The following is a 23,719-nucleotide window of genomic DNA, read 5'->3' as shown; positions in this document are numbered from 1 at the left end:
TTCTTAAGCCTCTCCCTTTGTCCTTTCTTACCTGCTATCTGGTGAAGCTGCAATTCCAGGCTCAACATTAGCAGGAGGAAGATCATGTTCTGTATTTGATCTGAAATAGACAATTGAAAGTCTCAGGGCCTTGTGAAACTTTGCTGGGTCTTTGGTTCTTTGTTCACTTTTGAAAACAGGGGAATAACAAATCATTTGGGGAAGGTGACAGACCATGGTAGAGTGGAGCTGGGAGGAGAAGTTATAGGTTGATTTCCTGGAGAAGAGAAGATATAAATTAAGAGTAAACAAGACACTCTTTATAAATCCAAATGAGAAGTTCTTCTTCCTTTTCTAATGGCCGTTTCTGAATATGAACCAGTCCTTGTGAACCACACATATTGGCAGTTACCTGCACGTCTCATGAAGCTTTCCATAGCTTTTTTCAATAGCTGGCCCTTGAACCCCAACTTTGTTTGTCAAATGAATAATGGACACCATCTTCTTTACCTGGACTGGATGTCTGGGAGTCTGACACTTGAAAATAAGACTCCATAGAACAGAGCTACATTCTCAATAAATACTTGCTAGTTGACTGAGCAAAGTAGTCAAGTGCTTTTGAGTGCTGGAATTGAGTTTGCCCCTCTCTTGAACTACCTCTTACTAAGAGGTTTAGACAGGGAGAGTAGGGAACTGGCTCTGATGAGGGTGGGGGCTGCGAATGCCCCACCTTGGTCCTGCTGTACCTCCCATGCTTTCTCCTTTACTCTGAAGCTTTCTTTATCCATGGACTTCTTATGGTTGAGGAAAGGGACAGAGCACACAGCTAATCTGATAATGGTCTGAAACTGAGGAGGCTTTCCAACTTTTATCAGCCATGGAATCATTTCTTCAGGGGAAATCTGTTGGAGCCATACATCTAAATCAGGCAACAGCAGAGCTGCTCTGAGTGTGATGAAAAGCAGTGGAGGGTTTGGGTCAGGAGAATGATAGAACCTCATTTACATCATTAAGAGACAACTAAGCTTTGGTGTAGGCAATAGACTATTGCTGAGAGGGAGAGGTTGCTGGCAAGATTACAAGCAGTGAGATCGGTTAGGAATGTGTTTGCAGAAATGCTGATAGCTTAGAGTAGAGGGGCTAGTAGGGGTGAGAAGTGGTCTGTTGGCGAGTTTATATATTTTTTCTTTGTTTTAAAATTTTATTTTAAAAATTTCAACAGCTTTATTAAAGTATAATTGATATACGAAAGAGGGTTATATGTGTCTAAGTGTGTATATATATTTAAAACACAAACTTTTTTTAAGTGCACGACTCTGTGGTTTTTAGTATGTTCACGGAGTTGTGCAACAAACACTATTATCCAATTTTAGAACATTTTCATTACCCTGAAAAGGAACCCCTTACCCATTAGCAGAAACTTCCTATTTCCCCTTCCCTTTCCCTATGGCCCTTGGCAACCACTAATCTAGTTTCTGTCTCTATCAATTGCTTATTCTGGATATTTCATAAAAATGGAATCAAGCAATATGTGGACTTTTGTGGCTGGCTTTTTTCACCGAACATAATGTTGTCAAGGTTCATCTGTATTGTAGCATATATCAGCACTGCGTTCCTTTTTGTGACTAAATAATATTCCATTGTATGATATACCACATTTTGCTTACCCATTCATCAGTTGATGGTCATTTGGATTGTTTCTGCTTGTTGGCTATTATGAATAAAGTTCCTATGAAAACTCATATACAAGTCTTTGTCTATGTATACTTTTAATTATCTTGGGTACATATGTAGGAGTAGAATTGCTGAATTAAATGGTAACTCTATATTTAACTTTTTGAGGAATTGCCAAACTATTTATCAAATATATGATTTGGAAATATTTTTTCCCATTCTGCACATTGTCTTTTCAGTTTCTTTATAGAATCCTGTGAAGGATAAATGTTTTAATTTAATTTTGATTTTATTTAATTTTGAAACACAAATTGATTTTAAGTAAAAAAATCCAATTTATCTACTTTTTTCTTTTATTGTTTGTGCTTTAGGTGTAATACCTAAGAAACCATTGCCTAGTCAAGGTCACAAAGATTTACATCTGTATTTTCTGCTAAGATAAATATAAATGGAGCAATTGTACAGGGACAACTGGATGTCCACATGCAAAAGAACAAATTTGGAGCCTTACCTCATACCATATACAAAAATTAAACAAAATGGATCAAGAACCTAAATATAAGAACTTTAGTTCCAAATTTGTTCTACTGATTGTGGGCATTCAGTTGTGCCTGTACAATTTGTTGAGGAAATTATTCTTTCCCTATTGAACTGTCTTGGCACCCTTGCAAAACATCAATTGATCATATATATAAGGATGTATTTCTGGACTCTCGATTCTGTTTTATTGAACTATATGTCTATCCTATGTCAGTACCACACAGCGTTGATTACTGTAGCTTTGTAGTAAGTTTTGAAACTGGAAAGTGTGAGTCCTCCAACTTTGTTAGTCTTTTTCAAGATTTTTTTTTAGGGGGCTATTCGGGCTTCCTTACATTTTCAAATGAATTTTAGGGTCAACTTGCTCATTTCTGCAGACAAAGGAAGCTGGAATTTTGGTAGGGATTGCATTGAATCCATAGATCAATTTGGGGAATACAGCCAGCTGAATAATATTTAGTCTTCCAATTCATGAATACAGCATGTCTTTCCTTTGTTTAGGCCTTCTATAGTTTGAAAAAAGACCTGAAGGGAACTGCTGACAGGCTAGATATATAGTTTGAGAAAAAGAGGGAAATCTGGGAAAATTCCTAAGTTTGGGGCTTGAGTCACTAAGGCAATGGAGATGCTGTTTATTAAAATGGAGAAGGCTGGGGGAGAAGCAAATTAAGGAAGGGGAAAAAGAGTTACGTTTGTTGTAGATTTGGTTTGAAATGCCTATTAGATAGCCAAGTGGAGGTGTTTAGTAGGCAGTTGGGGTAGAGATGTAAATTTAGGAGTCATCAATGCAGAAGTGTTAAAGATTTAAAGTCATGGATATCTGCATTACATCACCTACAGAGAGATAGGAAAGAGAGTGCCCAAGGACTGAGACATGGGGTATTCCAACATTTATAGATCTTTGTGAAGAGCGGTCACCAGCAGAGAAGATTGAAAGGAAGGGTACAAAGGCAAATGGCAGTGTGTATTATCCATGCATTTTATTTTCTGTATTCTGATGCTTTGACACCTGGGGCCTTGCTGACCCTGAAGGGACTGCCGCTCCCAGGGTTAGCCAATTCTAACCTCTAAGAGAGAGTAAACCACTTGCCCATGAGCACACCTTTCAAATGCAAACCAACCCATTTCAGAGCCCATACCCACAACTGCCTCATTTATTGGGGGCTTTCACATTCCCAACACTATGCAACTGCCTTAATCACCCCAGGGCCAAGTACCAGAAGACTAGGGACAGCCCCTATGCCCCAGAGCCTGCTGAAATTATTTATATCAGCTAATCCTAAATCCACTCACCCTGCTTCACCCATTTCTTCCTGTTGAAACCACAATAAAGATCTTGCGCACCCCCCACCCACCTCCTGGCTGACCCTGGTGCTTCCCCATGTGGCCCTTTGTGGCATGGTGTGCCCCCCTTCTCTTGGGATCTGTGAGTACAACATACTTTTTTCAACGACAGTCATTTCCTGATATATTGGCCTCACCATACCTAAATAATAATAAAACCTATATTTTAAAACACAGTGCTACAAAGGAGTGATCAGTAGAGCCAAATACTCTTGAGAGTTGCATTTAGCAGTATGGAGGTCATGGATGATCCTGACAAGCACAGTATCAGTGAGTTTTGTACAGATGAAAGCTTGAATAGGTTCAAAAGAGAATGGGTAAAGATGTGGCAACAAATATAGGCAACTCTCTCAAGAAGAGTGCTATAAAAAGGAGAAGAGAAATGAGTCAGTAGCTAGAGGGAAATGTAAGGTCCTCAGTGAGCTGTATTCTTGTTTTTATTTTAGAAAGGGAGATCTTACAGCAGGTAACAACTGGGAACAGAATTAAGTGCTTTCCACAGGGAAATGCTCATGGCATACCTTAGCTTGACCAGAAGATAGCCTTCCTTATTCAGATGCATATATATCCAAGAAAGGTATCATCTTAAGCTGCACCAACAGGCCTGGCACTTGCCAGCACTCTTATTTTTAGAGCATGAAAGGACAGCATGTAACATAGCTCTAGCAACAGAAAAGATTCTTGGATCACCTGCCACTGGCTTTAACTTCCCCTTCTTCCTTGCCCTTCCACGGGGACTTTCCTGGCACACTGTCCCCTTGAGCAAACCGAGGAACAGACACTGCTATAAAGATACTTTCCAACCAGCAGCTTCCTTTCCTACTAATCCTCCTCTGGGGAAAATATGGTTTATGCAATGAGTAAGAGCTCAGGCTCTAAAATCAGACACATCTGGGTTTAATCCTGGTTTTACAAATTGTAAGCCTCTAACACCTTGGACAAATTTTGAAAAGTCTTTGTGCCTTGTTTTCCTATTATGCTAATAGTAGCAACACCCACCTTAAGCTAGAATCTTAGACCTCTGCATTTCTCATCTTGCAAATATGGCCCATCCCCTAGTCCTGTTAATTCTCCCTCCTGGATACTTTTTGCATGGTGGCTCTCCTTTCTTCCACCCCACTGCCATCACCTTAATTCAGCTTCTTATCATTTCTTCTTATACCATAGCAGAGCCTTCTCACTGCTATTTTTACCTTCTAGTCTTGCCTTCCTCTGCTCCATCCTCCACTTATTGAGGTGAAGGACAAGAACCTTGGAGTCATCTTGAGTCCTTTCTTTTCTCACTCTACATCTGATTCATTAACCAACCCTATTGGCCCTTCCTTCAAATATATCCAGAATCTGACCATTTCTCACCACCTCCACTGCTTCCATATCGGTCAGAGTCATTGTCATTTCTCATGGTGATTTCTGCATTAGTCTGACAACTGGATGCTATGATTCCAGTTTTGCCTTCCTGCAGTTGATTCTGCAGCCAGAGTGGTTTTTAAAAAATAAAAGTCAAACCATATTTTCTTAAAACCTTCCGATGGCTCAGCATTTCACTCAGTGTAAAACCCAGTTTTTTCAACAGCCAAGACAAGAGGCCCCTGTCCTGGACCCCATGCTTTAAAGGACCCACTGTGCCCATCCTTCTCCCCGAGAGTAAGGTGTTCGCAGGGCTGAGAGATGTTATCTGGAGCTTTTGACCTACCAACCGCCATCCATTGCAGTCTGTCTTTGAAACACTGGAATTCCTAGCCTGAATGGCCTTAAGCCTGCTTCCAGGCCTGTGTGGCCTCTTCCGCAGATCCAATCCCTAAGGGAAGACCTTGCTGCCAGTGTACATGTCCCTCTACCCGGACACTTTCATTGTTTTTTCTCCTGAGACTGTCTTATGTAAAATTGCAAGAGCACTCCAACCCTACCCCAGCATTCCCAACAATCCTTAGTCATCTTTTCTCCCCCAAAGCAGTCATTACCATTTAACATACCATATAGGTCTCTTTCTGTTGCCCAGGCTGGAGTCAGTGGCACAATCATAGCTCACAGTGATGGCAGCAGCTGCCCGTTTAGAGCAGCTGCAGCAGTGGAGGTGTGGCCAGGGAGGCCAAGAACAGGTGGGAGTCCCGCCCCGTACTGAGTTGGCGGGGTGGGAACCGCATGCTCCCAGGCACCCCTGTAGCTGCCCAGCAGTGGCTCTGGACCCAGGCATCTCTGTACTCTCAGGGGCCCAGGAAGTCCCCTGCTCCCACAAGGTTGAAAGTGCCTGCTCCCACTCCCTGGCCTCTTCCCACTCCTGGCACCTGCTACTGGGTGAAGCAAAGTTGTGGCCAAGCCTAGGTGCTGTCACAACCCGGCCAGGCATGTGGGTGCTCAGGATGGTACTGACACACTAGCCCCCTGCTGCCTCGACCTCTTCCAGATGTTGGGTGCTGACAAGCACAGAGGGAGGCTGAGCAGGGGCTGAGGGTGGCTCAGGGCAGGCCTGCAGGCACCCCTCGGCACGAACAGCCTGGGCATCATGGACAGCATGTTGATGGCAAGAGGGAGACAGGTTCCTTGGCGGAAAGGGGTTAGGTCCCTGGTGAAACCCAACCTTCAAGCCAGGGATGGCCCAAAGCCTGGGAGCCAGGTTGCCAATTGTGGGTGGAGTCCACAGCCTGGGGTAAGAACTTACAGTGCTTTTTCTGGGCCCTTCCATGGCTGCCCATGGGCCAATCAGCACACTCTTCCTCCCTTCTGAGCCTGTAAAAACCCTGGACTCGACCGGGCTCAGTGGCTCATGCCTGTAATCCCAGCACTTGGGAGGCCGAGGCAGGAAAATCACGAGGTCAGGAGTTTGAGACCAGCCTGGCCAACATGGCGAAACCCCGTCTCTACTAAAAATACAAAAAATTAGCTGGATGTAGTGGTGGGTGTCTGTAATACCAGCTACTCGGGAGGCTGAAGCAGGAGAATCGCTTGAACCCGGGAGGCAGAGGTTGCAGTGAGCCGAGATTGCGCCACTGCACTCCAGCCCTGGTGACAGAGTGAGACTCCGTCTCAAAAAAACAAAACAAACAAACACAAAACCCTGGACTCAGCCAGACTTGAACAGACATTGGGACTACCAGCTAGGGGAAGCAGTTGCTCACTTCAGATCTCCTCTTTCTTTCTTTCTTTTCTTTTTTTTTTTTTTTTTTTTTTTTTTTGAGATGGAGTCTTGCTCTCTCACCCAGGCTGGAGTGCAGTGGTGTGATCTTGGCTCACTGCATCCTCCGCCTCCCGGGTTCAAGTGATTCTCCTGCCTCAGCCTCCTGAGTAACTGGGACAACAGGCGTGCACAACTGCACCTGGCTAATTTTTCATATTTTTAGTAGAGATGGAGTTTCACCATCTTGGCCAAGCTGGTCTCGAACTCTGACCTCGTGATCCACCCGCCTCGGCCTCCCAAAGTGCTGGGATTACAGGCGTGAGCCACTGTGCCTGGCTTGTGTCTCCTCACCTCTCTGGGATGACCTGCCTGTGGTAAGGAGCTATCCATTGTGGGTCTCCTCTCTGCTGAGAGTTGAACACTCATTTCCTGCCTATGGAAAAGTGCTACCCACTTTGGGTCTCCTGAAAGCTGTTCTGTCACTCAACGAAGCTCCTCTCCGCCTTGCTCACCCTCCAGTTGTCCACATACCTCATTTTTTCTGGACAAGGGACAAGAATTCAGGACCTGCCGAATGGTGGACTGAAAGAGCTGTAACAGAAACACTTATGTAGCTGAATGAGCATTGTGCTGACTTTTCTCCAGGAGACAAAAACGAACATGTTCAAACAACCATGCCACCTCTTAAGTCTCCCCTTTTAAAATTCACTTGTGTTTTCTAAATATGTTTATTGATGTCTGTTCCTATGTGGCTATCCATTTTCATCTTAATGTTATTGGGCGGAGTTAGAAACTAGAAATCAACACGTTCTCTAATATCTGGGTCTCTTGACCAAACCACAGGTAGTGAACAGAAATGCTTGTGGGAACTTGGACAAGGTATGTGAAAAATACTTTGCAAGTGGTAAACATTCTTCACATTCATCGTCATTATCACTTATGAGGGTGGTAATCTTTGGTCTAAAAATCCCATGAATTCCTATATGACCACTCCTCTCACTAACTTCACTAAGATCTTGCCTGGTAAAAGTCTACCCATTTTTTAAGACTCACTCAGGGCTACCTCCTTCATAAATCCTCCCCTGAGCTTCCCAAGCAAATGTCTGCAGAACGATTGCGCCTCTCAGGATATTTCTTGTCTACCTTGTATTTATCAGTTCATACTCAATTTTGATCTTATTTTGTCTTTTTTTTTTTTTTTTTTTTTTCTTTAGAGACTAGGTCTCACTCATTGCCTAGCCTGGAGTGTAGTGGCTATTCACAGGTGTGATCATAGAGCACTGCAGCCTCGAATTCCTGGCCTCAAGCAAACTCTGGCTTCAAGTGATCCTCCTGCCCCAGCCTCCCAAGTAGCTGGGACTATAGTTGTGGGCTACCTTGCCCAGCTTATTCTGCTTATTTCTACATAAGAAGTATCAATTTACTCAATTGCATTAGGAAGTTGTATCTTTCCAGAGAAATCAAGGAAACATCTGTAAATTCTGAGGATAAGTTCGTAAACAGAAAATGAGGAAATTTTTTTCAAGCAAAATTTGCAAGAGGATCAGAAATGATGGTAGGTTCTAGCAGTTTCACTTCTTGGTTGCTATAGGCCTAGTTTCTTGCCATTTCTACTGTCTGTGGAGATCTATTTCCAAACTGATAGATGAAATACAAATAATTGTGGTGCTGAAGCTTTAATTATCTCTTTCTTTTATTCAAAACATTTACTTGGTATTTACTATGTGCCAAGCTCTAGTATACAAGGGTAAATAAGACACAGCCAGTGCTTTTATGGAATTCTCTGGTCTGTGCAATAAGTGAGGCATAGACATTCTATGGAAGTATCTCAAGAATCCTAGCAAATCATTCCTTTGTGTAACAATAACCAGCCTAAAGGATCATGTTTGTAAAATACTTCATTCTTTGTTAAATACTGCCAGTCTTATCCCATTTGCCTCTTCCCTCTCCCAGTGTCTAGTAGAGCCCGGCTATCCATGAAGACCTAGATAAATGCATACCCAATTGATCTGAAATACCTGAACTAACCACTGTTTTGAAGCCAAGTGTCTAAGACACTAATTGTAATTAGCAATGTCTGAACATAATCTGAATTTGAATGCCTTTGGGCAAGTTATGCAGAGTTTGCCCCAGGTCCTACCATTTTCCATTGTATTAGACCTAGCTGGATTCACTTATTTTTGTTGCCTGACAAACCCAATAGGTATTTGAGTTTTGGGGGGATCTTACAGCCAGTACTCTGCTGTCATAGGTATATGAGTAATTATTTGATCTCTAAACCATCTGTGGCATAGATAGACTACCAGTAGCCTTAAGATGCTATTCTACTCAATTTAATAGAGCATTTAAGTTCAAATTAAATCTCAATTTTTTAAGCAATAAACAGTGAGTTCCCACTTTTTATAAGCCTTTATATTAGAAAGTTGTGAGAATTCATAGAATAATTTATCATTGGAGAATTCATAGAGGGTTTCCTCTAAGAAAGGGCCCTTGCCCTTAAAGACATTGTACCATAATTGGAAGGTTAAAACTCTCACACATGAAAAATAGTAAAACTGATGTAAAACAAGTGATAAAATTGCAAAAGCCCTAGAAGTTGACTAAAGGAAGGGAGACTTCCCAGAGGGGTAGGATTTGAACTGGGCCTTTGAAGCACTGGTAGGATTTGGGGTTGAAGCTATTCTAAAGGGCAGTGCATAGCTGACTCAGAAGCAGTCTCAGAGGTGCAAATGCACAGGCGTGTTGAGGGGACAATGAACAGAGTAACTTGGCTGGACACTTAGGTTGAGAATGTCAAGAGCTTAATGCCAGGCAGAGCTGCCAATCGGGAAATAGTGGCAGTCACTCAAAAACTAAGTGACAATACCAAAGGAGTATCTGAAAAAGATTACATCTAATTTTTTTTTTGAGTATAGAATTGAGGGTGGGTGGAATTGGTAGACAGCCTCTCAATTAGGGGGTCACTGTATTCATCTAGATGTTTGGTAACAAGGCCCTAACTTCAGGTCAGAAAAAGGAAGCAAGGAAGAGGAAGAAGAAACATATAAGACAATTGACAAAACAATTGACTGCTGATCAGCCATGCACAAGAGACAAAGAGAAAAGCAACAAGATTGACTGTGGTTTTAAGACCAGACTGGCAAGACAATATTGGAGCCATGGGGGAGGAAGGGTGGCAGGGAGAAATAGAAGATGGGGAGCTGATTTTAGAGGGAAGACAGTAAGTTTGGTTTTAGTCTGGGCAAGGCATAAGCATTCCAAAAAATTGTAGGTCCAGAGTTTGGGACAAAATTTAGGGCTAAAGATAAGGAAGTTATTTCTAATATGGAAATGTTAGTTAATATTGAGGAATGAATGAACCATCTGATGGGGAGAATATAAAAGAAAGATTATAAAGAAAAGATCTGAACTCAGGAACGTCCCAAAATTTGGAGAGCAGGAACAGAGGACTAGTGAAAAAGGCAGAGACAAGGTGGTCAGAAGAGCATCAGAAGCTCCCCCAGGGCAGTACTTCTGAGGCAATGGAGGAAAATCCCTCAAAGCAGGGGCAGTTCATCATAGGGAGCCGTGAAGACTAAGAACTGGAAGTCAGCCCACAGGTGTGTTAGAGACAGCTGGAAGGCATCAGAGGTGACTGGGGCTAGATAACCTTTCAGATGCTCTTGTCTGTCCTGGAATTCTGTGAGTTGATTTGAAGGTTATCGAGCCCAGCTACAGTGGAGCAGGGTGTGGCATGAGGAGGTGATACTACAGTTGCCCCTTTACAGAGTAACCCACGTATGCAACAATTAAGACATATGACATATTTGGACATTAGCATGTGGAATTAAAATGACACACAACAATCTACTGGTTGCTGTCCAATGTATTGTAAAGCAAATAAACTCTGAAGCATGACCCATAATACTGTCTCTACCATCTCCTTTTTCAAATCAACCTCAAACTTCCCCCTGTCCATTACACGAACATTTCATTTCTGGTGATTCTCCTGACATTTCATCAAATAAATCCATTCAACAATTCGGCAAGCACCCACTAAGCACCTATGTGTATTGCCAGGTACTGCACTAGGAACTTGGGACTCAGAGAACCTTAAAGGTGTGCTTCTTGCCTGTGAGGAGCTCCAGTTCAATGGAAAAGCTCACCAACAGGAGAAATCTGGGGAGAAGACACCCTGAAGCAGCAGACAACAAAGAGCCTGATGATGGGGAGACCTCAAATAATGAAGGCAAATAGATCAGGTTCCAGTGGCAAGAGCAGCAGGACCAGGATTGTTCATCCACTCACAGAATCTTAGGCTTGGAAAGGAGCTTGGAGGACATCCAGGCCAACTCCGTATTTGACCCTGATACAACTGTCTCATTACTGCTCACACTGAATATTTTTACTCTGCATTTTGTCAATTTAGGTCTCTCATTCCCTGCCCCTCAGAGCCATAGTATTTTTGGGTTAAAAGTCCTGATTAGTTGGTAATCTCACTCAGGCTTAGCCTCTCCACCTCCATCCCCTCCACATGAACCCATTGCCTTTGCTCTTCTACTCAGTGCATCCAGGCGGTGAGCAATCAATAGCAATTATTTCAGTTCTGTTTAATTTTTCTACCTTTTCGCTGATCATTTTATATGGAAAGAATAAGCCTTTCCATAGTCCCCAAATCATGCTTTTGTTCAATAATGATTACCTCTATAAGTTATTAAGATAATAGTTTTGGGTTTTTTGTTTTTGTTCCCCCTCCACCAACAGCTGCCTCTTAGGCATAGCTTGTAAACAAAGGCCAGCCTGGAGGGATCACCGTCTGCTAAATGGATAATCACAAACAGATGTCAGTCATAGGAAAACAGATTTTTAAGTTCTTCACCATTAAGCCTCCGAAAACTCTAAGCTGAGAGACAATCTTAAGAATAGTTATATTATTTTACAGTGCACATATTTGGTGCAGAAAATATCTCACCTTATAAAACTGAGCAACAAGAACAATATGCATAGGAACAAGTGAGAGAAATCTGGGGCAGGAGGACATTAGCTTATTTGTGCCCCTCAGCACAATTTCTGAGGCAGAATGTCTCTTGCCTCAAATGGTGTGGAGAGAAGGTAGGCCACCCTTCCCCCACCCTGGCAGCCTCATCATGGTCCACAACATAATAGTATGAGAGTATCTCAACCCACTCGTTACTCACATGAGGACTTGCCACAGCTCCACAAGTAAAGATGCAAAAGTAAACAACAAAAAACAGTTGCTGTTTGTGTTAGATTTCCTTATAGTAGCCACCAAAATGAACAGCCAAAAGGAAAAACAAAACAATCAACATGCAGTAGCTCCAACCCAGGATTCTTTCTAGCTGGGACATATGAGGATGGGTAACAAAAAAGCACTCAAAATTTGGCGTTAAGATATATTCAAGAGAAGAAAAGTTGTTCATTCAGCTTAAGGTTTGCCGTAACATGAGAGTGAGTCAAACCAGAACTAGTTCTGAGGAACTGACGAAAGCCTGGCTTATTTGGAAAGTTTTGGTTTTGCTTTTAGCAGTTTGTCTGTGAATGGGATTGCATTCCTGATTTGGCTCTTGGCTTAGCTATGGTTGGTGTTTAGGAATACTAGTGATTTTTGTATGTTCATGTGGGATCCTGAAACTTTCTGAAGTTTATCAGCTTAAGGAGCTTTTGGGCTGAGACTGTGGGATTTTCTAGATATAAAATTATGTCATCTGCAAACATGGGTAGTTTGACTTCCTCTCTTCCTTCTTGGATGCCTTTTCTTTCTTTCTCTTGCCTGATTGCTCTGGCCAGGACTTCCAATAGTATGGTGAATAGGAGTGGTGAGAGAAGGCAGCCTTGTCTTGTGCCGGTTTTCAAGGGGCATCCTTCCAGCTTTTGCCTATTCAGTGTGATGTTGGCTGTGGGTTCATCATAGATGGCTCTTATTATTTTGAGGTATGTTCCTTCAATACCTGGTTTGTTGAGAGTCTTTTTTTTAACATACCTTGAGAGTTTTTAATACCCTTTTATTCCCTCTCTTTCCCCTATTCTTATATGTGCTCCAGCTTCCCCATTGTCCCTGGAGCACATTTAGGAATAGGGGAAAGGGATGGAATGAAGAATACCAGCATGTCTTAGTGCTGTGCCAGGAAATTGACTCATTTCCTAGGGCTTCTGTAACACATGACCTCAAGTCCTTGGCATTCCCTGACTTATAGTTGTATCACTCCAATCTCTGCCTCCATCTTCAAATGACATTCTTTTCTGTGTGTATCTCTACATTCCTCTCCTCTTATGAGGATACCATCCGTTTGATTAGTGCCCACCCTAATGCAGTATGACCTCATTTAGACTACATCTGCGTAGACCCTACTTCCAAATATAGTCACATTCTGAGGTCCTCAGTAGACATGAATTTGGGGGGAACATTATTCAACTAACCTCACTTCATTTCATAGTGCCTCATTTCATTCTCAGTGCAATGTGTGGTTTAGAGTTAGACCCATTTTACACATGAGAAAACAGGACCAAGATCAAACAATGTTTCCTTAGTTGCATGGCTGAATTTGAACTCGGACCTCAGTGGCCCCACTATACCTTCAGGCTTGTGATTGGTGAGATTAAAACCACATGGCAAGAAAAGGCAAACTTGAATATAGGCCTGAATGATCAATCCTTCTCCTGCTGCCTCCCGCCCTTTTCCTTGTGCTTATAGGGGTAGGACCAGCAGAGATGTGGGGCTGAACACTCAGACAGAGGATGTTTTTAAGAAAACATCTCTCCTTGCCTGTCCTCTAAGCCTTCCCTGCCTCCTTGTTTCTTCTACAAAAGCAAGGATCTCCTTTCCTCCTCCTTGTCCTGCATCCTCTTTTCGTCCCATCGCTTGAACAAGAAGTACTTTAAGAAGTACTACGAAGCTGTGTAGTACCTACAGATGGGAGTGGCTGCCTAGACGGCAAGAGTTGGGACTGTGTCTGTGGGACCCGTGCTTCCTCTGGGGATCTGCTTCTACACCCACGGCTCCAGGCATGTGGTTTCCTTAGGAGTTGCCATTCTCTTACCTGACCCTCTGTTCCTGGCCACAGTGACTGGCTGAGGAATGGACATATGTCCCCTGTGTGGCTTTGAGTTTTAGTATCTATGGAAAACACACCTCACCTACCAGAGTTCCTGTCCTTCTTTAGGAGTGAGGTGCACTCACCACAGTTTCCTTTCCTCTCTCTTGGGTAGCCTTTCTCCAGGCTTGGCCTGCCTCTCCTCTTCACACTTTCCTTTGGGCAGTTCAGCTCTGCTTTGCCACAGTTTAGGGCATCCTGAAGCAAAGGAAGGCCCAGGTATATTCACAGCAAGGCCAAATGAAACTCAAGCTAGTGTCTCAGCACATTAGCCTGCCTCATAAATCTATATGTCTAGAGAAAATAATGGAGGGTTACAAACCAAAGTGTTAATAAAGGCATTTCTGGGTGGAGGTAACTTTTTTTAGTTTTTTGTTAAACTTTTGTTTTACATAGGTAACTTTTTTAGTTTTTTGTTAAACTTTTATTTTACATAGGTAAACTCGTGTCATGGAGGTTTGTCATACAGATTATTTTGTCCCCTAGATACTAAGCCTAGAACCCAGTCATTTTTTTTTTTTTTTTTTTTTTTTTTTTTTTTTTTTTTGCTCATCTCCCTCCTCCCTGGGGCCTCCACCCTCAGCTAGGCTCCAGTTTGTGTTGTTCCCCTCTTTGTGTCCATGTGTTCTTATCACTTAGCTCCCACTTATATGTGAACACATGTGGTATTTGGTTTTCTGTTCCTGCATTAATTTGCTAAGCATAATGACTTCCAGCTCCATCCATGTTCCCGCAAAGGACATGCTCTTTTTTACGGCTCTATAGTATTCCTTGGTGTATATGTACCACATTTTCTTTATCCAGTCTGTCGTTGATGGGCATTTAGGTTGATTCCATGTCTTTGCTATTGTGAATAGTGCTATGATGAACATGTGTGTGCATGTGTCTTTGTGATAGAATGATTTACATTTCTTTGGGTATATACCCAGTAATGGGATTGCTGGATTGAATGGTAGTTCTGTTTTTAGCTCTTTGAGGAATTGCCACACTGCTTTCCATAATGGTTGAACTAATTTACACTCCACCAATAGTGTATAAGCATTCCCTTTTCTCCATAACCTTGTCAGCATGTTGTTTATTAACTTTTTTTTTTTGAGATGGAGTCTCACTCTGTCTTCCAGGCTGGAGTACAGTGGTGAGATCTCAGCTCACTGCAAGCTCCACCTCCTGGGTTCATGCCATTCTCCTGCCTCAGCCTCCTGAGTAGCTGGGACTACAGGCGCCCGCCACCACGCCCGGCTAATTTTTTTGTATTTTTAGCAGAGACGGGGTTTCACCATGTTAGCCTGGATGGTCTGGATCTCCTGACCTTGTGATCTACCTGCCTCAGCCTTCCAAAGTGCTGGGATTACAGGTGTGAGCCACCGCACCCGGCCAACTTATTAACTTTTTAATAATAGCCATTCTGACTGGTGTGAGAGGATCTCTCATTGTGATTTGGATTTGCATTTCTTTAATGATAAGTAATATTGAGCTTTTTTATATGCTTGTTGGCCATGTGTATGTCTTCTTTTGAAAAACGCCTGTTCATGTCCTTTGCCCACTTTTTAATTGGGTTGTTTGTTTTCTTCTTGTAAATTTGTTTAAGTTCCTTATAGATACTGGATATTAGACCTTTGTCAGATGCATAGTTTGCAAAACTTTTCTCCCATTCTGTAGGTTGTGTGTTTACTTTGTTGATAGTTTCTGTTGCTGTGTAGAAGCTCTTTAGTTTAATTAGATCCCATTTGTCAATTTTTGCTTTTGTTGCAATTGCTTTTGGTGTCTTTGTCATGAAATCTTCACTCACTTCTATGTCCAGAATGGTATTGCCTATATTGTCTTCCAGGGTTTTTTATAGTTTTAGGTTTTACATTTAAGTTGTTAATCCATCTTAAGTTGATTTCTGTATCTGGTGTAAGGAAGGAGTCTAGTTTCCATCTTCTGTATATGGCTAGCCAGTTATCCCAGCCCCATTTATTGAGTAGGAAGTCCTTTCTCCATTGCTTGTTTTTGTCAGCTTTGTCAAAGATCAGATAATTGTAGGTGTGCAGCCTTATTTCTGGGTTCTCTATTCTGTTCCATTGGTCTATGTGTCTGTTTTTGTACCAGAACCATGGTGTTTTGGTTACTGTACCCTTGTAGTATAGTTTGAAGTCTGGTAGGATGATGCCTCTGGCTTTGTTCTTTTTGCTTTGATTGCCTTGGCTATTTGGGCTCTTTGTTGGTTCCATATAAATTTTAAAATATTTTTTTCTAGTTCAGTGAAGAATATCACTGGTAGTTTGGTGGAAACAGCATTGAATCTATAAACCGCTTTGGTCGTTTTAATGATATTGATTCTTCCTATCCATGAGCATGGAATGTTTTCCCATTTGTTTGTGTAATCTCTAATTTCTTCTAGCAGTATTTTGTAATTCTCATTGTAGAGCTCTTTCACCTCCCTGTTTAGCTGTATTCGTAGGTATTTTTTTTTTTTTTGTGGAAATTGCAAGTGCAATTGTGTTCCTGATTTGGCTCTCGGCTTCGCTGTTGCTGGTGTATAGGAATGCTAGTGATTTTTGTACATTTATTTTGTATCCTGAAACTTTGCTGAAGTTGTTTATCAGCTTAAGGAGCATTTGGGCTGAGACTAGGGGTTTTCTAGATATAGAATCATGTCATCTGCAAACAGGGATTGTTTAACTTCCCTTCTTCCTATTTGGATGCCTTTTCTTTCTTTCTCTTGCCTGAGTGCTCTGGCCAGGACTTCCAATACTATGTTGAATAGGAGTGGTGAGAGAGGGCATTTTTGTCTTGTGCTGGTTTTCAAGGGGAATGCTTCCAGCCTTTGCCTATTCAGTATGATGTTGGCTGTGAGTTCGTCATAGTTGGCTCTTATTTTGAGGCATGTTCTTTCAATACCTAGTTTGTTGAGCATTTTTAACATAAAGAAATGTTGAATTTTATAAAAAACCTTTCTACATCTATTGAGATAATCATGTGGTTTTTGTCTTTAGTCCTGTCTATGTAATTAATCACATTTATTGATTTGAGTATGTTGAACCAACCTTGCCTCCTGGGTATAAAGCCTACTAGATCATGGTGGATTTGCTTTTTGATGTGCTGCTGCATTCAGTGTGTTAGTATTTTGTTAAGGATTCTTGCATCAATGTCCATCAAGGATATTGGCCTGAAGTTTTTTGTTGATGTTATTGTGTCTCTTCCAGGTTTTAGTATCAGGATTATGCTGGCCTCATAGAATGACCTGGGGAGGAGCCCCTTCTCCTCAATTTTTTTGGAATAATTTATCTAGGAATGGTGTCAGCTCTTCTTTGTACATCTGGTAGAATTTGACTGTGAATCCATCAGGTCCTGGGCATTTTTTTGGGGGTGGGGGTTGGTAGGCTATTTATTACTGATTCAGTAATGGAGCTCATTATTCATCTGTGCAGGGATTCAGTTTCTTCCTGGTTTAGTCTTGGGGGTGTATGTGTCCAAGCATTTATAAATTTCTTCTAGATTTTCTAGTTTGTGTGCATAGAGGTGTTCATAGTAGTCTCCGATGGTTATTTGTATTTCTACGGGGTGAGTGGTAATATTCCCTTTGTTGTTTCTGATTGTGTTTATTTGGATTTTCTCTCTTTTCTTCTTTATTAGTCTAGCTAGCAGTCTATCTATCTTATTTATTTTTTCAGAAAACCAGCTCCTGGATTCATTGATCTTGTGAATGGTTTTTCATGTCTCATTCTCCTGCATTTCAGCTCTGATTTTGGTTATTTCTCGTCTTCTGCTAGCTTTGGGGTTGGTTTGCTCTTACTTCTCTAGTTCTTTTTGTTGTGGTGTTAGGTTGTTAATTTGAGACCTTTCTAACTTTTTGATGTGGGCACCTAGTGCTATAAATTTCCCTTGTAACGCTGCCTTAGCTGTGTCCTGGAGATTCTGGTATGTTGTGTCTTTGTTTTCATTGGTTTAAAAAAACTTAATGATTTCTGCCTTTATTTCATTATTTACCCAAATGTCATGCAGGAGCAGATTGTTTAATTTCCATGTAATTGAATGGTTCTGAGCAATTTTTTTTTTAGTCTTGATTTCTATTTTTATTTCACTGTGGTTCTACAGAGTGGTTGGTATGATTTTGGTCTTTTGCATTTGCTGATGATTGTTTTATGTCTGATGGTGTCGTTGATTTGGGAGTATGTGCCATGTGGCAGGCAGTGAGAAGAATGTATATTCTGTTGTTTTTGGGTGGAGAGTTCTGTAGACGTCTATGAGGTCCATTTGGTCCAGTGTTAAGTTCAGGTCCTGAATATCTTTTTTAATTTTCTGACTTGATGATCTGTCTAATATTGTCAGTGGGGTGTTGAAGTCTCCCCCTATTGTTGTATGGGAGTCTGAGTCTCTTTGAAGGTCTCTAAGAACTTGCTTTATGAATCTGAGTGCTCCTGTGTTGGGTGCATATATATTTAGGATAGTTATATCTTCTTGTTGAACTCTTTATCATTATGTAATGCCCTTCTTCTTCTTTTTTGGTCTTTGTTGGTTTAAAGTCTGTTTTGTCTGAAATTAGGATTGCAACCCCTGCTTTTTTCTGTTTTCTATTTTCTTGGTAAATTTTTTCCCATCCCTTTATTTTGAGCCTATGTGTGTTACTGCATGTGATATGAGTCCCTTGAAGACAGTATGCCATTGGGTCTTGCTTCTTTATCCAGCTTGCCATTCTGTGCATTGTTTGTGTGGTTTCTTTATACTGTCACTGGTCTATATACTTAACTGCATTTTTGTAGAGGCTGGTAACTGTCTTTCCTTATTATATTTAGTGCTTCTTTCAGGAACTCTTGTTAGGCAGGCCTGGTGGTAATGTATTACCTCAGCGTTGAGTTGTCTGAAAAATATCTTATTTCTTCACTTATGAATCTTAGTTTGGCTGGATATGAAATTCTTGGTTGGAATTTCTTTTCTTTAATAATGTTGAATATAGGCCTCCAATCTCTTCTGGCTCGTAGGATTTCTGCTGAGAGGTCTACTATTAGTCTGATGGGCTTCCCTTTGTAGATGGCCTTTCCTTTCTATGTAGCTGCCTTTAGCATTTTTTTCTTTCATTTCCATCTTGGAGAATCTGATAATTATGTGTCTTGGGGACAGTCTTGTGAAGTATCTTGTGGGGGTTCTCTGCATTTCCTGAATTTGAATGTTGGCCTCTCTAGCTAGGTTGGGAAGTTCTCATGAATGATATGCTGGAATATGTTTTCCAGGTTGCTCCCATTCTCCCCATCTCTTTCAAGGACACCAATAAGTCATAGATTTGGTCTGTTTACATAATCTCATTTTTCTTAAAGGTTTTGTTTGTTCCTTTTTATTCTTTTTTCTCTGTTCTTGTCTGACTGTCTCCTTGTCTGTCTTAATTCAGAAAGTCAGTCTTCAAGCTCTGAGATTCTTTCCTCAGCTTGTTCTATTCTGCTATTAATACTTGCAATTGCATTATGAAATTCTTGTAGTATATTTTTCAGCTCTATCAGTTTAGTTACATTCTTTTCTATACTGGCTATTTTGTCTGTCACCTCCTGTATTGTTTTATTGTGATTCTTAGCTTCCTTAAATTGGGTTTCAGTGTTCTCCTGAATTGCGATGATCTTTGTTCTTATCAATATTCTGAATTCTACTTCTGTCATTTCAGCTATCTCAGCCTGGTTAAGAACCATTATTGGAGAACTAGTGTGATTGTTTGGAGGAAAGAAGACCATCTGGCTTTTTAGTTGTTAGAGTTCTTATCTTGGTTCTTTCTCATCTTTGTAGAATGATGTTCCTTCAATCTTTGATGTTGCTGTTTTTGTTTTTTTTTCCCCCTTTTTATATCATATTTAATGACCTTCGGGGTTTGATTGTGGTATAAGGTGGGTTCAGTAGACTGGCTTCATTTCTGGAAGATTTTAGGGGCCCAAGTCTCAGCTCAGGACTCCCAAACTGTGTGTTATAACTCTGGGGCACTGGTATCAGGCCCCGGTCTTGTTCTCTGGCTCCTTAAGGTTAGGAACCTGCTATGTTGGAGGGGCCTGAGGTGCTCCTGGACCTCTGATCACAACTCTCTGAGGCATGGTGCCAGCCAAAGTGCTTTGTAGGGCTGTGGAAACATGATCCATCCTCAGTCGCATGTGCCAGTCGCAGTGGCAGCAGCGGTGCAGTGGGGTGCACACTTGTTGGCTGCAGCAAGGTGCTAGTGGATGCCGGAGTGCCAGCCTTCGTGCAGGTGTTCATAGAAGCAGCAGTGGCAGCATGGCTCAGGCAGGTTGGGGGGCCCTCACCAGCAACTGTACACATGTTTGTGCCAGTGTTGGGATTAGCATGGGAGCAGGATGCTGCTAGATGCAGGGCTGTGTGTGCCCCCTGTGCACATTCACATGGGAGGCATTGGCCGCTCAGGGCAGGGGTGGGCCTGCTGGTTTTTGTGCCTAGTTTTGTGCCATAGGCAGTGTTCGCATAGGGGCAGGGCTGGGGACTGGCTGGGGCGGAGCTGGCAGCTCCATGCCCAACAACACTCTGATGACAATGCCATTGCCATCACAGTGGACAGTGCTGCAGGGAAAGGAGGGGCAGGATATACTCACACCAGCAGCAGTGGCATGGCAGGGCACACGCTCACACGTATGCTGGTGGGGAAGGGAAGGTGAGGTCTGCCTGTACACGCAGGTACTGGCAAAGTGATATGAAGGGTGGCTGTGGGCAAGTGTGTGCAAGCAAAGCAACAAGGGGGAGGCTGTAGTTAGGGGATGAGCTGGGTGGGCTGGTGTGTGTCCATGGGGGCTACTCTGCTGCAGCACTCTGACAGTCTGGCATGGTCTGCCAGCACAGGTGCTATGATGTGGGCTCCCAGGAGGTACCTGGTGGCTGCACTGCAAGCAGGCATGGACAGGCTGGGGCCCTGGGAAAGGCTAGCAGACCAAAGGGTGCTGAAGTCAGACTGGCCCTATCTCATGGGCAACACCGCCCTGCAGAATTTAGGACCGACAGCTCCCCTGGTGCTAAAGTCTCCTATGGAAGCAAGTTGAGCCTAGGGAGATGGACATCGCTGGCTGTACTCCACCACAAACACTCCCGCACGAAACCTACTGGGCTCCACATCACCTGGAGCTCTGCCCCTACCACTTCTCTAAGCAGCTCTCCTTGCCAACTCAAGTGTCCACAGTGGTTGAGGGGTCTCTTCCTGTCGTGATTCCAGAGACCCATTGCAAGAGCATGTTTCTCCTTGCCTGTTCAACTCATCCCTTCTGCAGGAGTTGTTGGGGGCCAGGAACAAGTCCCAGTGTGTGGTAGCCTCATGCAGGGTTTTCAGCTTCCTCCTGCTTCAGCCCAGCCTCTGTGTCTTCCCTCTGTCCACTCTTGATGCCTTCCCTCTGAAAATCTGGGAAGATCTCTGTGAGAGGTGTTTCTCCTGGCTGCATCTAGTTAGCTCTCTTGCCTCCTTCTCCTGCAGTTAATTTTTATTTTCTTTCTTTGGCTTCATTTTGTTTTTTAAATAGTCTGCCATGAGCACAAATTACTTTTGTAAAGACAGAAATAATTTTTTAAAAGCAATAATGGAGAGTATAGTTAGATTACTGAAAAATAACAAGAAGAAAACATTTAAAGAAATCAACAAAGGGCTGTATGTGTTTCTAATTTATTTTTATTTATTTATTTATTTGAGACAGGGTCTGACTCTGTCACTCAGGCTGGAGTGCAGTGGCATAATCAGGGCTGCCTGCAACTTCAACCTGCGGGGCTCAAGCGATCCTACCACTTCAGCCTCTCAAGTAGCTGGAACCACAGCCATGCGCCACCACACCCAGCTAATTTTCGTATTTTTTTGCAGAGATGGCATTTTGCCATATTGCCCAGGCTGATCCCTGTTAGGTTTTGAAGGGAAGGCGAGGGTTAAAGAAATATGCACACTGTAGAAGTCGGGGACCAGCCTAACGCCAGTGCCTACCGCTGCTTACAGGCTGGGGTAATTTATAGGTATGGGCGGGAGGGGTCTGGGCAGTATGGCTTGCTGCCCGGTAGGATATTGATAAGATGTTCCCGTCATGAGGCAGTTCTGGTCCTTGTTCAGGCGGGATGTCATCGTGGTGTTCCTTGGACCTTTGCCCAGAAGGATATGATAGAGATATTTCTTTAGTTGGGCCTTTGTGGGCCTTGTGGTCAAGTGGTTAGGCAGGGTGTTTCTCATGGCCCAAAAACCCATGAAATGTGTCACTTTTACCAAGGTCTGCAAAATAGCAGGGCGCTTACAAAATGGTGCAGTTTGGATTAACATTCTTGTCTTGGGGCACATGTGTATATGTCCAAGAAGAATGCTGTTTTTATGTTAATGAAGCCGGCATTGTTCGCAACGCAGCCCACAGGCTCCATTACACGGCTGCAGAAATCCAACATCAAGTCATTCACTGTTGGCAGGGGTCATCCTTCCTAAAGTGGATACCTTGGGTAACCCCTGTCTTAGGGTCCCTAATTTTCTCCCTCATAATACTGACAATTGGCCCATGTGTGCGCACCTTCATATCCCGCTTTATCTCCCAAAGGCCGAACTCCCTTGTCCAGGCAGCTATATAGAAACACGATACCATTCTTCTCTGCCAAGTTTGGTATCAGCACTTCCAGGAAAACAACTCTAAAGTCGGACACCCACTGCTGAAAACCCAAAGCCTGAGTGCAGTGCTCCTATTTAGCAGGAAACAGCCAGATAATTAACAATGCCCCTCTTCCTTTTTATGCTAAACTAGAAGGCAAAGACCTTCTGGGCAAAGGTCCAAGGAACACCATGATGACATCCTGCCTGAACAAGGACCAGAACTGCCTCATCATGGGACCATCTTATCAATTTCCTGCCAGGCAGCAAGCCATACTGCCCAGACCCCTCCTGCCCATACCTATAAATTGCCCCAGCCTATAAGCAGCAGCAGGTACTGGCATTAGACTGGTCTCTGACTTCTGTAGGTTTTATGCTGGATATAAAGTCTGCATTTGTTGTTGAACTTCCCTCTTATGTGTGTGTGTCTTTCTTTAAGTCTCGCCTTCCCTTCAAAACCTAACAGTCTTGTACTCCTGAGCTCAAGTGATCCATCCACCTCAGCCTCCCAAATTGTTGGGATTACGGGTGTCAGCCACCATGCCTGGCTGGCAATTTATTTAATTTAGCTTTGTTCTCTTTTTAATAGAAGATTCCTGAGAGGCATAGCTAAATTGTGTGTGTGTGTCTGTGTGTAGAATTAGGCACCCCCTTCAACATTGCATTGTCACTTGGAAATAGAAAATTAGAATTTTGGTCATAAACTATTAGACTATAATAAGAATATAATGAGTTTAATAATTATGTCACCAGCCAATCTATGAGGCCCCTCCTATCTTATAGAAGGGAAAGTTAATACAAAGAGAGATTACAGAGCTTAACCAAGATCACCCTGTGAATGTAGGGCAGAGTAGGTAAGAAATGCTACAACCATTTCTGTCCTTTCCTCCCAAGATATTTTCCTCCAAATGCAGTGTAATGCAAATGTAGTTCAATGTAATATAATATGATGCAATACAATGTATGTGATGTGATGCGATGTAATGTAATATATTGTAATATGACATGATGTAAATATTCATGTAAATCACCTAGAACAGTGCTTGTCATACAGCAGGTGCTAAATCAATGTTAATGCTTTCAGGTCCAAAAAAATAAGTCCAGTATTTCCCACTCTGCTTGGTTTTATAAGGGAAAAAAATACAGCTTGAGGATGAGAAAGAAATGCACTTGAATTTTGGGAAAACAGGCAAAGAGCAAGAGCTAAGGAAGGTGTGAGAAATGAGGAGGCAGCAGTTTATCTAGAACCTGCTTTAGCAACGTTTCCAAAGTCAGGAAGCAGGGATCTGCTGTGAGTTTATCTGGAATGTGAAGGAAGCAGGTGAAGACCAGCTTAATCTCTTGAAAATGGGGAGAGGGGGCCGGGCACGGTGGCTCACGCCTGAAATCCCAGCAATTTGGGAGGCCGAGGCA

General features: G+C 42.5%; 1 protein-coding gene and 1 long non-coding RNA gene across 3 annotated transcripts in view, besides 8 other annotated features; one reads left to right on the top strand and one right to left on the bottom strand.

The window, feature by feature from the left end:
- The window catches only part of PDCD1LG2 (programmed cell death 1 ligand 2), a 60,752-nt gene extending 48,650 nt beyond the window's left edge, over window positions 1-12,102 (bottom strand). For both annotated transcript variants that reach the window (XM_005251600.4, NM_025239.4), the window contains exons 1-2: window positions 11,830-12,102; window positions 32-100 (exon numbers count right to left, since the gene is read on the bottom strand). In XM_005251600.4, coding sequence (XP_005251657.1) covers window positions 32-86 — 55 coding nt within the window. In that variant the 5' untranslated portion in view covers window positions 87-100; window positions 11,830-12,102. The remainder of the gene's footprint in view (window positions 1-31; window positions 101-11,829) is intronic.
- INCR1 (interferon stimulated noncoding RNA 1) overlaps window positions 1-23,719 on the top strand; it is a 172,297-nt gene that overhangs the window by 107,095 nt on the left and 41,483 nt on the right. The window lies entirely within an intron of this gene.
- Window positions 5,822-5,961: an enhancer, noted in NCBI's record as "active region_28169". NCBI's record gives its function as "activates an Ori minimal core promoter by ATAC-STARR-seq in GM12878 lymphoblastoid cells {active_cell/tissue: GM12878}" and the evidence as "EXISTENCE:reporter gene assay evidence [ECO:0000049][PMID:35858748]".
- Window positions 12,004-12,053: an enhancer, noted in NCBI's record as "active region_28168". NCBI's record gives its function as "activates an Ori minimal core promoter by ATAC-STARR-seq in GM12878 lymphoblastoid cells {active_cell/tissue: GM12878}" and the evidence as "EXISTENCE:reporter gene assay evidence [ECO:0000049][PMID:35858748]".
- Window positions 12,214-12,273: an enhancer, noted in NCBI's record as "active region_28167". NCBI's record gives its function as "activates an Ori minimal core promoter by ATAC-STARR-seq in GM12878 lymphoblastoid cells {active_cell/tissue: GM12878}" and the evidence as "EXISTENCE:reporter gene assay evidence [ECO:0000049][PMID:35858748]".
- Window positions 12,334-12,413: an enhancer, noted in NCBI's record as "active region_28166". NCBI's record gives its function as "activates an Ori minimal core promoter by ATAC-STARR-seq in GM12878 lymphoblastoid cells {active_cell/tissue: GM12878}" and the evidence as "EXISTENCE:reporter gene assay evidence [ECO:0000049][PMID:35858748]".
- Window positions 12,334-13,554: a biological region, named in NCBI's record as "CDK7 strongly-dependent group 2 enhancer GRCh37_chr9:5509079-5510278".
- Window positions 12,355-13,554: an enhancer, noted in NCBI's record as "CDK7 strongly-dependent group 2 enhancer chr9:5509079-5510278 (GRCh37/hg19 assembly coordinates)". NCBI's record gives its function as "activates an origin of replication core promoter dependent on BRD2, BRD4, P300/CBP, MED14 and CDK7 cofactors, with strong dependence on CDK7, by STARR-seq in HCT116 cells {active_cell/tissue: HCT116}" and the evidence as "EXISTENCE:reporter gene assay evidence [ECO:0000049][PMID:35650434]".
- Window positions 20,245-20,746: an enhancer, noted in NCBI's record as "H3K4me1 hESC enhancer chr9:5501887-5502388 (GRCh37/hg19 assembly coordinates)". NCBI's record gives its function as "activates a minimal SCP1, AML or CMV promoter by ChIP-STARR-seq in primed H9 embryonic stem cells {active_cell/tissue: H9 hESC(primed)}" and the evidence as "EXISTENCE:reporter gene assay evidence [ECO:0000049][PMID:30033119]".
- Window positions 23,230-23,524: a silencer, noted in NCBI's record as "tiled region #6415; HepG2 Repressive non-DNase unmatched - State 22:ReprW". NCBI's record gives its function as "represses a minimal TATA promoter and a strong SV40 promoter by Sharpr-MPRA in HepG2 cells {active_cell/tissue: HepG2}" and the evidence as "EXISTENCE:reporter gene assay evidence [ECO:0000049][PMID:27701403]".

The sequence above is a fragment of the Homo sapiens genome, chromosome 9 (assembly GCF_000001405.40).
Source record: "Homo sapiens chromosome 9, GRCh38.p14 Primary Assembly".
NCBI classification, from domain to species: domain Eukaryota; kingdom Metazoa; phylum Chordata; class Mammalia; order Primates; family Hominidae; genus Homo; species Homo sapiens.
This window is presented reverse-complemented; position numbering and strand designations above follow the sequence as displayed.